The sequence below is a fragment of the Homo sapiens genome, chromosome 2, assembly GCF_000001405.40.
Source record: "Homo sapiens chromosome 2, GRCh38.p14 Primary Assembly".
Classification (NCBI taxonomy): Eukaryota; Metazoa; Chordata; class Mammalia; order Primates; family Hominidae; genus Homo; species Homo sapiens.
The window spans coordinates 98,242,021-98,261,402 of NC_000002.12; the positions used below are offsets into that span (position 1 = coordinate 98,242,021).

Below are 19,382 nucleotides of genomic sequence, written 5' to 3' on the forward strand. Positions count from 1 at the left end.
TGGACTTTTATGAAAAAGCAGACAAAAAGTAGAATGGAGTTGAAAAGGAAACACACTAGAGTCTTACTTCACTGAGAATCTTAATTGCGTCCTCCTCCTGTGTTCTGTGCACGGCCACATCTGTCTGCATAGAGTTGTAAAGCAGTGTCTGGCTTTGTCCCCAGCTCTTTGTTTCATTCATCACTTATGTATGGGCTCTTTCTTCTTCTGGAACACAATGCTGTTTTGGTTTTCAGTGTTTCCCGGACCAGCCTCAAATCGGTCACCTTGGAAATGAGGTATTGAGCAAAGAGGTTGCCCTAGCAACTCTTCATTACAAGATGCAAAATGGACTCGATAATTTTATCTTAGCTCTTTCAAAAAGATTAACTCTTCCCCAAGTCATATACACAATAAAACTGATTTAGCTATGTAATGAACCTAGAATTTAAAGCTCTTTATTTGCTGGTTGATTTGAAAAGCATTGAAATAATTTGGGAAAATTGGTCTGCACCACTGGAGAGTCTACATCATCACCCATCATCATTGTCGTTATCATAATGTCTTTTACAGCATCCCATCAAGGCTTCCTGTGTTGTCCGTCCTTCTCCGGGTTCTGCACATAGCTTTGTGGCCAGATAGCCTGGATTGGTGCTCCAGCTCTGTCATTTACTCCTGAAGGACCATGGCAAGCTCCCTAATCTAGTATGCAGTGCACCCTCATCATATACTAGGTTCTGAGTAAAGCATTTGCTATCATCAAATATCTCATCTAAAACTTAGAGTGACCTGTGAGGTGGCTATTCAGCTCACCATTTAGCTGACAAGGAATATTTGGTGCAGAGAGGCTAGGGGTGCTGTCAAGTCATGACATTTTGTTGCTTTTAAATATAATAGCAATGAACACAAAACTGTACACTGATAGAAAAGCTTTTTAATTAAAAATTTAAAACAGTTATCACAAAACCTACATATGTATATATTCAATGTATAGAAAGATTAGAAAATGTAGATAAGTGAAAAAGAAAGAAGCAATAGTTATCATCCACCTCATCATCTCATGGTTATCTGGCCAGATCTTCTTACTTTCTGTATATAGATATCCAGACCCTTTGTTCTTTGTTTTTGTTTTTATCATAATTAAATGAAACTGAACATCCTGTTTTGTACCTGCATTTTTCAACCACCTATCCATGAACATTGTTCCATGCTGGCATATACTTATCTACTATACCAGTTTAAATGCTCAGCCTTTTAATTGAAATATATTAATTTAAACTTAAATTGAGAATAGAGTTTTATTTTCTACAAGTTTAGATTGAAAAACTGTGAGATGTAATTTTTTTTTTCTTGAGATGGAGTCTTGCTCTGTTGCCCAGGCTGGAGTGCAATGGTGTGATCTCTGTTCACTGCAACCTCTGTCTCCCGGGTTCAAGCAATTCTCCTGCCTCAGCCTCCCGAGTAGCTGTGATTACAGGCACGCACCACCATGCCTGACTAATTTTTTTGTATTTTTAGTAGAGATGGGGTTTCACCATATTGGCCAAGCTGGTCTTGAACTCTTGACCTTGTGATCCACCTGCCTCGCTCTTCCAAAGTGCTGGGATTACAGGCAAGAGCCACCATGTAATTTACACTTAGTAACATACTCTCATGGGTTTATGAATGATCTTACTGACATGCGATTTGGCCAGCTGTTTTGTGGCCCTGCTTTCATTTTGTTCTATGGAGCCTGCAGGTGTTTCAGTTTGAAAGGCAGACATTTAAGTTTTGGCACTTGGCCATTTGCACAACTGTAATATCTATAAAGCTGTTGCACCTACATTCAAAGATTCCCTGTGTGGGATTTACACAGCTATTACATTTCCATTACACACATCCAATCAGAACCTCTCCTTGGCCAATCTGGTAGGAAGCTCTGGGATATTTACTGGAAGAACTGATTTAGTTGAAAAACAGTGAAGTTGGAGAATTCAGTCAGAGTTGAACAATAGATAATCACCAGTTTCACACTAGTTTCTCAATTTCAAAATGTTTTGTGATTGCTTTTAAACACAGCTAGAATGTTGTCAGGTGGAATTCGACCTGTTCTACTTTAACAATCAATAGCTGTGGGCACAGTTCTGTATTCTGTGTTCTTAATTTAGCATATGTTATGAACATTTTTCCTTACAATAGCCATTTTGGGATGAATTTTAGTGATTACACTAACATTCAGTAATATAAATTACTACAGTTTAATTATTCCTCCCAATTGGGGGCAGTTTACTTGGAATTTTGAAGAATCCTCATTTTCCTGTATCTCTTTGCTATCCCTTAGAACAGTTAACAGTAAAAACAAAAAACATCAAAAAACGTTGCTAAATGGTATTTCAATTTCAATTTCAATTCTTTTATCATTTGTGAATAGTTTTCTTATGTAAGCTAAATATATCTCTTAAGCTGTTTTTCACATTATTCATATGTTTAGGAAACACCTCTTAAATAGCACAGTTACATTTCATCCCATGTCTCAACTACCAAGAATTCAAATTTGGTGGAATCCAAACAATTATGTTTTATAATACGATAAACTTAAAAAAAGTTTTGAATCTCAGCCGTTAATTTATATATAGTTTTAGTGTTTTATTTATTTAATAAATGATTATTTGGGACATGTTTTGTTCTAGAAACTAGTAATTTCAAAGGGGAATAAAGGATTATAAAGTTTTATGAAGAGGAAAGACACACAACAAAACTGCAATTAAATACATTTGTCTATAAAGGAATTGAATAAGAAATTATGTAGAGTAGTCAGTGCCTGGCAGAGAGTAAGGATAAATAGTATTATCACTATTGATAATCACTATTGAGTACAGTGGTTGCTTACAGAGTATTTCATCTCACAGTGGGGAGAATTCTAACAGAATCAGCCCAAACTGGCCTGTTCATGCATCCCAGCAATTCCTTCTGCCCTTTATGGTCAGTGACTGTCTCTCTGCACCCTCCATCCCCATCTCGATCACTACCTCTACCTCTCTACTAGTCACAACCTTGTCACATATGGTGTAATTATTCATATCAATTTGATAAGGCTTCTAGGTTAACCTCAAGAGAATTGAATTAAAGTAGGTAATACCTTAAGCCTCCCTTAAATCAAATATTATCCAGAAGAGTCCCTCGTTAGCCAGTTATGCTTGATTTGCATTATAACAGTAACAAGTAAATATTTCCCAAGGTGCCAAGACCAGGTGGTTTTATTCCCTCTCAAACAGAGCTCTCAATGTCTTCATTAACCTCAGCTCCCTCCCCACTTGCTTTCTTACAGAAGCCGGGGGTGCCATGATTCTGCCCCCCAAGTCCTTATGAGAATGCCCCTTATGACCTCATAGTCACACTAAATTTGACATCATAAAGAAAACATTTCCTGTGATCTCCACGCAGCCACCATGTTGTAAAAACTAAGATGTCAGACTCGAAGTGTGGGGTATGACTTTATCTTTCCCTGGATCTGCATGTGGAGAGGACGGAGAGTGGGTGCACACAAGCCAAATCTGAGCTACTATCACACTGAAGCACACAATGGCCACGAAAGGCATGAGGTTGAAATCCACAAAAGAGGGAAGTAGAACACTAAGCAGTGGGTTTTTCTTAAATACATTAAGTCAGGAGACAAGCTGATCATGATGAAATGTTATAATGTTGCTTAGTGGTATTGATTCACAATTGTGCCATACTGGGCAAATTTGGAAAGCTATTTACAGACTTCTAACGGGGTATTTTTTCCAGGGAAAGAAAAACCCAAGGGACTTTCATTTTGTTGAGACTGATCCTTTTTTTCTTCTAAAAGTTTATGTGACATATAGCTCTATTTCGAGAGATGATTTTATTTTTTTAAAATTTCTACAAGCTTCATTCTGTTTTCAAAGTTCAGTCCTCCCACCTTTCAGCCCACTGTCTGGTTCCTTCTCTTTGACAAGAATTGTTTAGAAGCCACATGCTGAATTCATGTGGTTGTTAAGTAGCAAGATTGGACTGTTCAGTTTCTTAACTTTCTTTCTCTTCAGTTTTCTAAATCTTTGCCTATTATTTGTTTGTTTTAGTCTTTGGTGGTTTAATTACCGAATTAAATATATGTAGTTTTTAAAAAATGAAACAATACAGTAAAAAGTAAAAGTCCTATCTACCTTCTTCACTTGTCTTGAAATCTCAATTTTTAGAAGTAACCACTATTGATAGTTTTAAACCTAATTTTTAAATTTTTCCATTATTTTAAAAATAAAGCATTTCAGATAAAGTTGCAGCCACCTGTGCAACTCCTTTTTGTTCCACTTTCCATTCCTCCTTCTCCAGAGATAAACCCTAGCATGAGTTTTCATATACATTTTAATTTTTATTTATTTATTTATTTATTTTTGAGATGGAGTCCCACTCTGTTGCCCAGGCTGGAGTGCAGTGGTGCAATCTCGGCTCACTGCAACCTCCAACTCCCGAGTTCAAGCGATTCTCTTGCCTCAGCCTCCCAGGCAGCTGGGATTACAGGCACATGCCACCATGCCTGGCTCATTTTTTTTTGTATTTTTAGTAGAGACAGGGTTTCACCATGTTGGCCAGGCTGATCTCAAACTCCTGACCTCAGGTGATCTGCCCGCCTCGGCCTCCCAGAGTGCTGGGATTACAAGGGTGAGCCACCCCACCCAGCCTATTTTAATATTCCTAATACAAAAGCACTAAAACATCGTCCTACAGGTTTAAAACTTTATAGAAATGGTATTACACTGGAAGCACCATTATGAAACTTACTATTTGTTTTAATACTATGTTTTTGAGATTTTATCTATCTTGATTTATTTTTCCTGCTCTATTTTTCCACTAAGTGCAATACCATTTTTTGTAAATACGAATATATTTGAACTTTTTTTAACCTCTTATTTTTTATGCTTTCTGTTAAATGTCATTTTTAAATGATCACTGCTTGTATTTCTATTCCTTTAGTGATTGTTTTAAAAGTTTTAATGTAATGACAATTTTTTTTTTGAGACAGAGCCTCGCACTGTCGCCCAGGCTGCAGTGTAGTGGTGTGATCTCGGCTCACTGAAACCTCCACCTCCTGGGTTTAAGTGATTCTCCTGCCTCAGCCTCCCGAGTAGCTTGGATTACAGGCACCCGCCACCTCCCCCAGCTAATTTTTGTATTTTTAGTAGAGACGGGGTTTCACCATGTTGGCCAGGCTGGTCTTGATCTCCTGACCTCAAGTGATCCACCCGCCTCAGCCTCCCAAAGTGCTGGGATTACAGGTGTGAGCCACCATGCCCAGCCAACAATTTTTTTTAACTAAGTCTCAAGGTATTTTGTATTTTTATTCTCCTCCCAAACACAATGGGGGATTTTAGTACCTTTTAATTAGTCATTAAAAACCTTTCCCCCAAAAATCTTGTCACTGTGATTTAGAGTTTCACTTTTGCCTTTAGGACATGTAATCTTTTTTGACTTTCAAGAGTTAATTAAATTTTTTAACAGTTTCAGCTGTATATCTCTTTATATCTAAAAAGCATCTTTAGTTTTCTCTTGGCTGTTGAGTGATAGTTTAGCTGGATATAAAAGTCTCTGTTAACTGTAAATTCCCCTTAGCAAATAAAGATATTATTTTCACATATCTATTATCTGATATATATACTACTCCTTTATACAGTCTGTTTTGTTTGAGTTGCTTTTAAGATTTTCTTTTAGATTCAGTATGCTGCAGTCTTATGATGATGTGTCTATGTGTGGATTTGTTTTTAGTCTTTTGTTGTGGGCTGATTTTTGATCTGAGGACTTATTTCTTTCATTAAACTCTAGAAAACTCAGCTATTATGATTATGGTTTTAAATGCTGATTATCTAACCATCTTTCTATTCTATTCTTTTAAAATGTCTATTAATATATATTGAAGTTTCTCAATCATCATCTAGTTATCTATATTATTTTTGTCTCTCTGTGCTATATTCTGAGGAAAGTCTGCAGTACTATCTATCACCCAGTTCACCAGTTCTTTTTTAAAAATTTTGTGTAGCCTAGAATTTATTCTATTAAGATTATTTTTTGTTTGAATTACAATGTCTTTTCTTCCAAGATAAATTTTTTTCTGGTTTTTTTTCCCATCCATTTCTTCTTAAGACACTTTAGTAAATTTTTGTACTTTTATATGGCTGTAACATCTTTGAACAACCTAATAATAAATAAACAATTTTAATCATAATTAATTTAAAGTCATTGTTAGATGGCTCATAAATTTAATTTATTATCATGTGAATTGACATTCTGATTGTTAATTTGCTCAGCTATGATTTTGGCATTTTTTGGTGTATACTTGGGAATTCTAGTATGTTGGCTCATTTTCACAAGATTCTTTAAAAATCTGCCTTTTCTCTTTCTCCTTCTATTTGGCAGTTGCCTAAATCCATCCCCTTGATCCATCCCCCAACCCTCATGGGCTTTTATAGCTCTTGTTCCATGGTGATGTTGTAGATATCACAGATTCAAAGAGTGCCTTGATTTAGGTCTTGCGAGGCTACATCAGTGTCCTCTCTCCCTAAGCAGGACCTTCTTTCAGGGGTGAGAGACCCTCATACCAATGCTGACGTCAGGCATTGAGCCTGACATAGGCCTTTGTTTTTCAGAACACTCCTAGTCCCACTAGCTTTCCAGGAGTTGAACTCCCTCTGCCTTGCCATCTTTGGACACACAGCTTAACAAGCCTACAGCTTCAACAACACTCATATGTTTACATTTCTGCTCAGCTTTTTGTCTCTAAAAACCTATCAGCGTGTGTCCCTTTCTCTCTGTCTCTCTTTCTCTTTCTTTTTCTTTCTTTCTTTCTTTCTTTCTTTCTTTCTTTCTTTCTTTCTTTCTTTCTTTCTTTCTCTCTTTCCTTTCTTTCTTCTTTCTTTCTCTCCTTCCTTCCTTCCTTCCCTCTTTGTATTATTTTCTTAAACATAGCAACAACAATAACATTATTGTATCATTTTGGAGGCAAGAGGAAACATAAAAGCATAAACTATGTCACCTCAATTAAAATTAAAAATTTACCTCTTAAAAATAATTTCCCACATTTCTAAAATGCCTACATGCTCCTTATGGGTGGAATCATTTTTGAAACAATGACAGTATAGCTTGGCATTTTCCTGTTAGGCTTTTTTGCATTTTTGTTTAAATATTAATATATGGAATATACCTTTTTGGGAACATGCGTTTATTCCTTTATCAACAAACATTTGTTGAGGGCACACTGTGTGCCAGGTACTATTCTAAGTGATAGGAATACAGTAGTGAATAGCACAACATTTCTTGTCTTATGGAACTTACATTCTGATAGAGAGAGGTAGGTAATATGCAAATAGGTAAACATAAAGTTACAGTTACTATCAAGATTAAAGAAGAATTTGGAAAAAAAGATTGAAGGAGGGTTTCAATTCTAGAGAAGATGAGGTAAGCGTCTGTTACCCTGTTTGTGCCTTTGAATACAACTGTAAGTCTTGGATAGAATACATGGAGAAGCTAACAGTGAACTTTGAAATTGAAAGGGTCCCCCCAAAATTGGGGAAGGAGACCAGAATTTGAAGTTCCACCAAACCAATACATTTACCATCTTTTCCCCCCGGAGCTGCTTGGCATGAAATCAAAGATATCCCAAAACCCAGAAGTAAGTACCAGGCACAGAGAGAAAGAACTCAAAAAGAAGCCTCATTTATTGATCACTAAGCATTCTTTCACACGTGTAAGAATCTCTTATCCGAGATCACACCATTGCACTCCAGCCTGGGCTACAAGAGTAAAACTCCATCTCAAAAACAAACAAACAAACAAAAAAAGGATAAGAGAAATCGTCAAAATATGGTAACTATAATCAAATATTCTCAAAAGAAAATCAAATGTAAAATAAATATATGAAAAAGGTGTTTAACTCAAATAGCAATTTACAAAGAAGCAACAATGAGATCTATTTCTTATTGCCCACTCTTACCAATTTGACAGAGACTTCTGAAGATAATTCGCAATTCTAATTAAGGTTTTCTGAAACAGTTTTGGCGGTGGTTGTTTTTTGGTGTGTGTGTGTGCATGTGTGTATGTGGTGGTAGTGATTTCTAAAATATATAGTTTTAAACATTGAACAGTAAAGGTTAGCAATGATATCTCTTTTTTCTCTGTGATTTACTGTGTTTTCTAATGTTCTACATTTATTGTATATTGACTTTATAGTCAGAGAAAACATGTTATACAACTATGTAGATGTATTTTCGAAGGCACGCATTAACCTATCAAGTGACACTTTCCTTTCCTTTGCCATTGACATGCAGGTGTTCCCTCTGGCACATGTGTGCAACGACACAAATAAGATGACATTAATTAACCCCCAAGGAGCCAAACTCAATATCTACAAGCGAAAAGTGGAACAGGCAATTCAATCCTATGAAAAGTGAGTATTACTCTTGGCTGCTCTTTAATGGATGTGGAATTTATTTTATGGAGAAGGAGACTTCTCTTGTTTTAGCTTAGCTTTTTTTTTTTTTTAATGAAGCAGCTATTTAAAAATTGTTCAGGCTGGGTGTGGTAGTTCATGCCTGTAATCCCAGCACTTTGGGAGACTGAGGCAGGAGGACAGCTTGAGGCCAGGAGTTTAAGACCAGACTGGGCAACAATAGGAAGACCTTGTCTCTACAAATAATTTAAAGAATAATATCACAACAAGGTGATTGCAATCAACAATAATTTATTGTACATTTAAAAATAATTAGAAGAGTATAGTTGGAGTATTTGTAACACAAAGAAAGGATAGATGCTTGAGGTGATGGATACCCCATTTACCCTGATGTTATTATACATCATATGCCTGTATCAAAATATTTCATGTAACCTACAAATATATACACCTACTGTGTACCCACAAAAATAAAAATAAAATTCTGTGATGAAAAATAAATAAATAAATACAGGCTGGGTGTGGTGGTGCGTGCCTGTAGTCCCAGCTACTTGGGAGGCTGAGAAGGGAGTTACTTGAGCTCAGGAGTTGGAGGCTGCAGTGAACTGTGATTGCACCACTGCACTCCAGCCTGGGTGATAGAGTGAGACCTCGTCTAAAAAAAATTGCTCATAAGGAATATAAACAACAGTGGCAGCAGCTATTGTAGGGGCTTCCTACATGCTAGGCACTGCATCAAGTACTTTACCTGAATATCTTCAACAAGGTTTTAAAGAAACTATCTTCCCTTTCCAATATCCATAAAAATCTCATGTTTCCATGAGATCTGTAAAGTTTTCCTTTTAGCAGAATGCATCTGATTGTTTTGGCATCTAACATTCTATAAAGTGACTAATAAAACTCGACAGTAATGAGATAATGGAAATAACGGCTTTTGTTAATTTTAAAATTACTTTTATCAAGTTCAAGATGATGATCACACACCCTTGTATCCTTGCTGAGACAGGAGACTCTGCTCACAGGCTGGTCCTTGTCCATGCTGTAATCACCTCCCTCCCCGGTCCCCAGCCCTTAATTAATCCTGGGTGCACAAACTTAATTAAACTCTGAGCATTTGGCTTCTGCAGGCCAGCCTGTCCTCGGTTCTGGGAACTGTGCAGTTGAGTTGTCATTTGCCACCATGCGGGTGGGTGAAATAAAGTTCAGGAAAGTTAACTATTGGCCCAGGCCAGCGTATGTTGGTCTGCTGTCATTTTGCAATGTGTCTAGCATGTGCTCAGTCAAACAAATATAAGGCCTGATCCTGCCCCACGAAGGATCATTCCAACGGCAGACCTTGCTCCACTGTGTCCAACCCAGGCCTCTCCAAACCCCCTTTAACGTGAGCCTCCATCGTTGCCCTCACCCGAGAGTGGAGGCCGCCTTACGAGGCTCCTCAGCAGCCTCTGTGGGCTCCTCAGTATTTCTGAATCTTTACCTGAGAGGAAAGAAGAACCAAGGATGAGCATTTCTTTGGGAAGCAGGATGAGCTATTCAAGGCTCACCCTTCCCCGTGGGTCGGAGACTTCCAGACAGGCCTTGCCTCCCAGCTCGGCTCCTCTCCGGTTATGCTGCTGTCCCCAGCTGGGTCTTTCATCGCTTCTCACCTCAGCACCAATGATCCTTCTCAGAGAGACCTCTCGGGAGCTCCTCTCAGCGCCCACCCTTCGTGTGGCCCTCAGAGCACTCACAGCTTCTGCAGGGGCGGTGGCTTGGTGACCATCTCTGCCCTCTAGGATGTCAGCTCCCAAGGCCAGGGCTCAGCCAGCCTTGCTTCCTCCTGCATACCCTATTCCTAGCAGGCGTCTGTGTGTATATGACTATTCAAATTTAATTCAAATTTTATATAATTCCATTCTTCAAATTCAGTCATTCAAAATGCCATATAACAATACCATTCACATTCTAATGTAGTTTGCTTGAATAATTCAAATATTTGAGTCCTATAATTACCCGGCCTGTGAAAGCCTGATGCAGGGCCACGAGCTAGATAGAGCTTCGTGGTCAGATGGTTCGCGGGGGTTTCCTGCTTGGTTCTGACACCAGCTCTGTTCCAGTGTGTGACAGTCGTGAGCCTCAGATTCCTTGTTCACAGAATCTATCTCACAGGTCTGTTGTGAGGATTATGTAAATGATATGTAAAGAGGAACTGATGTTCATTACTTCCCCCTTTCACTCCTGACTCTGCTGACCCTAAAATAACCATAGGTGCATGGAGTGAAATCGTCATCTGGTTCTTCCCACTGCATTGACCTTTTCCCAAGGATTTCAGGAAAGGACAGGGAGCCCCTTCCCAGGCAAAAGAGAGGCCTCCTTTCTTAGCAGCAAAACCAAAACAAACATAGTAAGTCATTTGTCCTCCTTCTTACTTTCAGTGAGTGAATCTGGAAAAGCCTTTTAGTACCCTCTAGAGAAATATTGTCACTATATTGTTATTAATTATATTAACATCAAGTTATTAATAACAATTTTAACATGATTGGTATTATTTAATAATTAAGTTACTGATTGAATTGTTATTATTTGGTATCACTAATTTGATGTTTGTATCAAGTAAATTATTTAACATTGTTATTTAATATTAATAGTAACATGAATATTATACGGAACCAAATTTCCTGATCATTTGCATTCAATTGTGTTTAAGAGTGTTGTTGGTATAAATGTCAATTTCTTTTTCCATTTTGCTTCATTTTTCTCAAGATAGTCAGAATATGAAAAGTAATTAATGACACATTTACCACCCCCATCCCCTATATAACATTTCTAAGGAGTTTTCCAACAAAGATAAGCGAGATGTAACTTTAAAAACAACCTTTGTGTAATCATAAATCCATATGTTTAAGGATGACCAGGCAAATGGAAAGCTCACAGTCCTTTGGTCAAAATAATGACATAAACTTGTTATTGGGGTCACACTTAGTGCCCATGCATGGGAGTCCTTTTGTCTCATTTTAAGAACCGAGGCAGCAATTTTGGCTTTGTGTGTCTGAGTATAAGCTTTGAGTGGATATTGCCAGGGCTGGCTGGATTCTGGAGTGATTTTTCTGTTGCTTACTTTCATTGAAAGTCTAAGGTCAAGGTCACAGCTCTCAGATCACAGAAGCAGTATCCGTTCTAGCCTGGCTTGGGGACCATGCTTAGAAACCTCTCCTTACCATCTGCAATTTGCTGGGCCGGCTGCTTCTTGGCCTTCTGAAGTGTCACTAGTTACAAGTTGCTTTGCAAATGAGTCAACTCTTGGCACAAGCTGATGTGAGAATTAGAGATACAGAAAGTTGGTGAATGCAATCCCTTAGCCAAATTTCTCTCTCCTACAAAAAACAATGAGGGAAACTTTGTTAGAAAAATCCCTGAATCATGGGGCTGGACCAGCCGCAGAGAGGCCCTCAGGTCCAGTGCCGGGCCTGAATCCCACAGGGACTCCCTCATCCCACTTGGCTTTCCTGCGGTGGCCTCCCTGGACAGTAGAGCTGTTGAAGTATTTTAGTGAAGATGGAAAATAGGGGAATAACAAAGGCTATGAAAATGTGCTCCTGGAAAAATATTTTCTAAAGAAGTGAATTAAAATTAGAGACCTGTGCTAGCAAACTGGACCCACATTTACCAATGATTACTCAGTGTTTCTAAGCCTTGCTTTTCAGAACCTGGAGGGAATAAACATTGAGCTATTCGTGATCACTTTATGTATGCATCTCACTTAATCCTCTCAAGGATTCCAAGGGCAGGTGGTGTTAGCCTTGTCTTATCAATGAGAAAACAGTTTCCAAAAGCTACGTAGCACAGGATCACACAGCAGCAAAGTGAGGACACCAAGGTTTGAACCCAGAGCCCTTACCACACTCCCAGCCTCCACACTACACTGCCTCCACTCTCTACATTTACATTTAAGGGGATTGTGAATGGGTTTTTTGTTCGTTTGCTTGTTTGTTTTTCAGAGAAGCACAAAGATACCTAAAATGCGTACTATAAATCCTTTTAACAAATCTTGGAAGCCTTAATCATTATTACCTGAATCACATGATTCAAGAAAGCCAATTTCCAAATAGGCCTCAAAGAACCAAACATCTCAAGTGAGACAGAAGCACTGAGCTGACTTATTTCCCTCTTCCCGACTCTTTTTCTATCACTTAGAGCACATTTACCTGGATCAGACACAATTTATGTGCTGTGTACACACTAGCTCAAGTCCTCATGGCGACACTAGGAGTGGAGCGGTACTACTATCCCCACTTTACCGAAAAGTTGGGCACTGGCCCAAAGCCTCACGGCAAGAAGGAGAAGAAGCCGACTGAGCTTTGGGCCCTGGAGTTGTGGCTCCGGAGTCTACCCTCTTCAGAGGCCCTGTCTGCAGACACCCTTTCTGTGTTCTTACCAGGCTCATGATGGGAGGGCAGGGCAGGAGAATGCAGCCACCCGAAATGTGTCCTCTGAGCCCTGTCCAGCTGATGCTGGGTCCAGTGGTTAGAAGAATGCCTCCTGAAGAGCAGTAGCATTCTCCTACCTCATTGTATGGAAGCAGTGTTTTTTGTTTTTGTTTTTTGTTTTTTTTTGAGATGGAGTCTCGCTCTGTCACCCAGGCTGGAGTGCAGTGGCGTGATCTCGGCTCACTGCAACCTCCACCTCCTGGGTTCAAGCTATTCTCCTGCCTCAGCCTCCTGAGTAGCTGGGAGTACAGTCGCCCGCCACCACGCCCGGCTGATATTTTTTTTTTTTTTTTTTTTTTTTTTTTTAGTACAGACAGGGTTTCACCATGCTGGCCAGGCTGGTCTCGAACTCCTGACCTCAGGTGATCCGCCCGCCTCGGCCTCCCAAAGTGCTAGGATTACAGGCGTGAGCCACTGCACCCGGCTGGAAGCAGTGTTTTTTAATGGAACATCAGCTCACAACCCTGGAGCCAGTGTTCTCTGCCCTGCAGCTCAGAAAGCCTGCTTTTGGGTAATGATGTCCTGACATGATGACACAGAACTGGGCTGGGAACTCTGAAGAAGCAACACTGATTAGTAGCCAAAAGAGCAGCTATAGCTACCCTGTAGGAACCACTAGCTTCAACCTCCTTCTTTGCTCTTGGGTCAACAGCTTCCCTCTGAAAACGCGATCAGTCTCAGCACCGCCAGCCAGCAGCTGTGGGTGAGCAAGGTGCTTCATCCAGCTGCCCCTCCTAGCAGCCTCGTTTGGAAAACAAGGCAGCCAGCCTGCTTGATCTCTAAAGTGTGTCCCAATCCTATTATTTATGACCCTGTTAAACTCTTTTGATCTGAGAATCCAGGCAGAAGAGTGTCTACAGAAAGCGAACTAAAGAGCACAGTTATGTTCCCGTAAGAAGAAAAATGGTGGGTGTTTAGAAACGACTTAAAACAGAGATAATGAAGACCAGTTTGTCAACTGCCTTTACTCAGTCTGAGTTTTACCTGGCTGAGCTGGGAACTGAGCCCTCCTTTAATATTTGACGCAATTGCCACAAAACCACGAGGCTGCTGCAGTGATGCTGAGGTGACACATCCAGTGTCTTTAAGCACATGACAGTGGCCTGGCTCAGTGGAGATGATGCTTAGATGGGCTCCCACTGCGGTGCCTGGGGTTAACCTTTTGCCATGAAATGAAGTACTGCTACAAAATTATTGTTGACTTTTTTTTTTTAACAGGCGCTTGAATAAAATTGTTTGGCGAGCATTATCTCAAGAGGAAAAAGAAAAGTAAGCCATTCCATTCCCTCCTCACTTTTTTTTTTTGGTGAAATTCACGTAACCTAAAATTAACCATTTTAAAGTGTACAATGCAGAGGTATTTAAAATATTCAAAATGTTCTGCAAACCACTACCTTTTTCTAGTTTCAAAACTTTTTCATTACCCCAGAAAATCACTTTGTAACCATAAATTAATCACTCCCCATTCCTGTCTCCCCCTTTTCTGGGTTACCACCAGTTTGCTTCCTGTCTCTATGATTTTGGCTACTCTGGATATGTCATATGAAGGGAATCATACAGCATGTGACCTTTTGTGTCTGGCAGCTTTTCTTAGTTAATGTAAAAACCTCATGTTTTTAAGGTTCACCCAGGTATCAGTACTACATGTGTATATATACACCACGTTTGTCTGTCCATTCTTCCACTGACGGGCATTTGGGTTGCTTCCGCTTTTTCGCTATCATGAACTATGTTGCTATATGCATTTGTGTAGAAGTTTCTTTGTGGACATATGTTTTCATTTCTCTTGGGTATATACCTAGCAGTGGATTTGCTTGTCACATGGTAATTCTATGCTTAACTTTTTGAGGAACCACCAAACTGTTTTTCCACAGTGGCTATGCCATTTTTAGAACATATCTATTTATTTTTATTGACCCATAATAATTGTACATATTTTGGGGTACATGTGATATTTTGATACTTGCACACATGTAATGATCAAATCAGGATGTTTAGACTATCTATCACCTCAAACATTTATTATCCCTTTGTGTTGGGAACATTTCAAGTTGTCTCTTTTAGCTATTTTGAAATATACAGTAAATTATTGTTAACTATGGTCTCCCTACTGTGTTGTCAAGTGTTAGAACTTTTTCCTTCTACCTAACTGTATGTTTGTGTCCAATAGTCAAACCTCTCTTCATCTCCCCCACCTCCACACACACTCTTCCCTGCCTCTGGTAACTATGATTCTATTTTCTGCCTCCATAAGATCAACTTTTTTTTGTTTTTAGCTCCTACAGATGGGTGAGAACTATTTGTCTTTCTGTGCCGGGCTTATCTCACTTAATATCATGACCTCCAAATGATATTAAGTGCTGCAAATGATATTAAGTTGCTGCAAATGATAGGATTTTGTTCCTTTTTTTGGCTGAATAGTATTCCATTGTGTATATATACCACATTTTCTTTATCCATCCATCCGTTGATGGATACTTAGTTTGTTTGATTCCATATCTTGCTGCAATAAACATGAGGGTGCAGGTGTCCCTATGATACATATTGATTTACTATCTTTGGATAAATATCCAGTAGTGAGATTGCTGGATCATGTGGTAGGTTCTCATTGCTCCACATCCTCATGAACACTTGACATTTTCCTTTTCTTTTTTTTTTTAAGTCATTCTCATGGGTGTGAAAGGCTATTCTGCTGTGGTTTTGATACACATTTTCTTAATGACCAATGATGTTAAACATCTTTTCATGTGCTTGTTGTCCATTTGTATATCTTCTTTGGAGAAATGTTTATTCAAGTTCTTTGTCCATTTTCCAATTGGGTTGTGTTTTTGTTGTATAACTTCTGAGGATTAAGTCATTATCAGATATCTGATTTGTCAGTATTTTCTCCCATGCTATGGGTTATCTTTTCGTATTCTTCATAATGTCCTTGGAGGTCCAAAAGTTTTTAAGTTTTAGGAAGTGAATTCTTCTTTTTTTTTCTTTTGTTTGTGTTTTTGGTGTCAAATCTAAGAATCCATTGCCAAATACAAAATCATGAGCATTTATCCTTTTGTTTTCTTCTAATATGTTTACAGTTTTAGGTCTTACATTTGGACTTTTGATCCATTTTTGAGGGACTTTTTGTATCTGGTGTGAAGTAGGGTTCCAACTTCATTCTTTTTCATGTAAATATCCAGTTTATCCAGCACTATTTGTTTAAGAGACTATTCTTTCCCTTTGAATGGTCTTGGCACCCTTGTCAAAAATCATCTGACCATAAATGTTTGGGTTTATTTCTGGACTCTCTATTCTATTCCACTGGTCTATATATGACTATATTTATGCAAGTTGACACTGTTTTAATTATTGTAGATTTGTATTCAGTTTTGAAATTAGGAAATATGAGTCCTTCAACTTTGTTCTTCTATTTCAAAATTGTTTGGGCTATTCAGGGCCCCTTGAAGTTTTGTATACATTTGAGGATTGGCTTTTCTATTTCTGAAAAAAAAATTGGAATTTTTGTAGGGATTATATTTAATCTAAAGATTGCTTTGAAGAGTATTACCATTTTAACAATATTGTTTTCCAATCAATGAACATAGAATGTCTTTCCATTTATTTAGTGGATCTTTAATTCCTTCAGCAATGTTATATAGTTTTCAGTATACCTGCCTTTCACATCCTCTGTTATTTTGTTCTTTTGGGTGCTATTATAAATGGGATTGTTTTCTTAACTTCATTTTCAGATTGTTCATTGCTGGTACATAAAAACACAGCTGAATTTTGTATTTTGACTTTGTACCTTGCAACTTTGCTGAATTTATTGGTACTAGTGGCTTTGTGGGGAATCTATGGGGTTTTCTATATATAGAAACATATCATCTGCAAGTAGAAATAATTTTACTTCTTTCTTTCTAATTTGGATGCCTTTTATTTCTTTTTCTTACCTAATTGATCTAGCTAGTACTTCCAGAACAACATTGAATAGCAGTGGTGAAAGGGGACGTTCTTGTCTTGTTCCTGATCCCAGTGAGAAAGAAAGGAAGTTCCCTATATTCCTAGTTTCCTGATTGTTTTTATCATGAAAAGTGTGTGTTAAATTTTGTCAAGTGCTTTTTTCTGTATCTATTGAAATGATCATGGATTTTTCCCTTTGCTCTACTAATGTGATGTATTAAATCATGTGATTTTCTTGGGTTGAACCACTCCTGCATTTCTGGCATAAATCCTACTTAGTCATGGTGTATAATCCTTTTAATGTCCTTTTGGATTTGATTTGCTAGTGTTTTATTAAGAATATTTATGTCCATATTTATAAAGAAAATGGTCTGTAGTTTTCTTTGACATGTTTGTCTGGCCTTGGTATCAGGGTAATTCTCTTCTTGCTGACTGTTAAGAAGTATTCCCTCATCCATTTTTTGGAAGAGTTTGAGCAGTATTGTTGTTAATTATTTGTTTGGTAGAATTCACCAGTGAAGGCATCTGCTTCTTAATTTCCCTTTGTTGGGGGATTTTTTATTTCTTATGCAAAGTATTTAATTGTTATATAGGCTGTTGAGTTTATCTATTTCTTCTTGAGTCATTTTGGTAATCTGTTTCTAGGAATTTGTGCATTTCATCTAGATTATCTATTTTTGGCATAGAACTATTCATAGTATTCTCTATAATTATTTTTATTTTTGTAAGCTGAATTAGTAATGTGCCTGCTTTCACTTCTGATAGTAGTAATTATGTGTTTTTTCCTTTTAGTCAATCTAGCTGAAGATTTGTCAACTTTGTTGATATTCTCAAGGAACAAACTTTTCATTTTGTTGATTCTCTCAATTGTTTTTCTATTCTGTAATTTGTTTATAAGTGCTCTCCTCTTTATTATTTCCTTCCTCTGCTGGCTTTGGGTTTAGTTTTCCCTCCTTTTTCTAGGTCCTTAAGGTGTAAATTTAGGTTGTTGATTTGAGAGCTATCTTTTAATGAGGAATTTACAGTCATAAAACTTCTTCTGAGCACTGGCTTTGCTGCACCCATAAATTTGGGTGTGTTGTGTTTTCATTTTCATTTATCTCATATTGCTTTCTAATTTCTCTAGTAATTTCTTCTTTGCCCTATTGGTTGTTTGAATGTGGTATTTAATTTCTATGCATTTTCCATTTTTCCAGTTTTCCCTTCATTGTTGCTCTAGCTTTATTCCATTGTGGGTGGGAAATATACTTTGTGTGATTTTTGACCATTTAAATATCTTGAGAATTGCTATGGTTAACATATGGTCTATCCCAGAAAATGTTACATGTGCACTTAATGTATATTCTGATGTTGCTGGATGGGGTGTTTTGGATATGTTTGTTAAGTCTAGTTCATTTATAGTGTTTTCTAGTCCTCTATTTTCTTATAAATTTTCTGTCTAGATGTTTTATCCATTATCTAAAGTGAGGCGTTGAAGTCTCCAACTATTTTTACACAGTTGGCCCCTCCATGTATTTGGGATCTGCATCCATGATTCAGCCAACCATGCATAAAAAATATTAAAAAAAAGAAAAATAATGGTACAACAATAAAAATGCAAGTAAAAATAAGTATAGCATAACAACTATGCAGCATTTACATTGTATTTGGCATTATAAATAATCTAGAAATGATTTAAAGTGTACAGAAAGATGTGTGTAGGTTATATGCAAATATGACACTATTTTATTTAAGAGGCTTGAGCGTCTGTGGATTTTGGCTTCCATAGGGGGTGCTAGAACCAATCCCCCATGGATACCAAGGCATAACTATACATAACTGTCTATGCCTCCCTATGATTCTGTCAATATATGCTTCACACATTTTAGGAATCAGTATGCATGTATGTTTCTAATTTTTATATCTGCTTGATGATTTGAGACTTTTAGCAATATAAGATGTTACCTTTTGTCTCTTGTAACAATTTATAACAAATCTATTTTGCTGGTAATATTATAGCCACTCCAACTCTCTTTGGTTACTATTTCCATGGAATATCTTTTTTCATCCTTTCGCTTTTAACCTATTTGTGTCTTTAGGTCTAAAGTGAATCTCTTTTTAAGCACCATATATTTGGATCATTATTTACCTCATTCTGCCAGTCTTTCTGTTTTAATTGGTGAGTTTAATCTCTGACATTTAAAGTGATTACCAATAATGAAGAATTTACTTCTGCCATTGTGCTATTTGTTTTGCATGTCAAAAGTTTTGTTCCTCAATTTGTCCAATATTTGTTTCTTTTATTTTTGATTTGTTCTAATGGGTCGTTGTGATCGCTCTTTATTTCCTTTTCTGTATACTTTTTAGTTATTTTCTTAGTGGTTACCATGGGAATTATAGTTAACCTCCTAAATTTATAACAATCTTGTTTGAATTGATATGAAGTTAGTTTTAGTAGCCAACATTAACTGTTCCTATTCAGCTTCAACCTCTTTCATATAGTTATTGTCACAAATTATATCATTTACATTGTGTGCCCATTAACACTGATTTGTAATTATTATTTTACGCATTTGCCT

The 19,382-nt window shown here is 37.6% G+C and overlaps 1 protein-coding gene across 16 annotated transcripts in view; it reads left to right on the plus strand.

Moving 5' to 3' along the window:
- VWA3B (von Willebrand factor A domain containing 3B) overlaps nucleotides 1-19,382 on the plus strand; it is a 243,450-nt gene that overhangs the window by 154,854 nt on the left and 69,214 nt on the right. For 15 of the 16 annotated variants that reach the window (XR_922885.4, NR_144296.2, XR_922884.2 and 12 more), the window contains 2 exons: nucleotides 8,298-8,416; nucleotides 14,104-14,154. Coding sequence is in view for 13 of the 16 variants with exons in the window: in NM_144992.5 (NP_659429.4) it covers nucleotides 8,298-8,416; nucleotides 14,104-14,154 (170 nt within the window). In the remaining 3 variants the exon portion in view is untranslated. The remainder of the gene's footprint in view (nucleotides 1-8,297; nucleotides 8,417-14,103; nucleotides 14,155-19,382) is intronic. The other variant, XM_011510770.2, reaches the window with a different exon arrangement.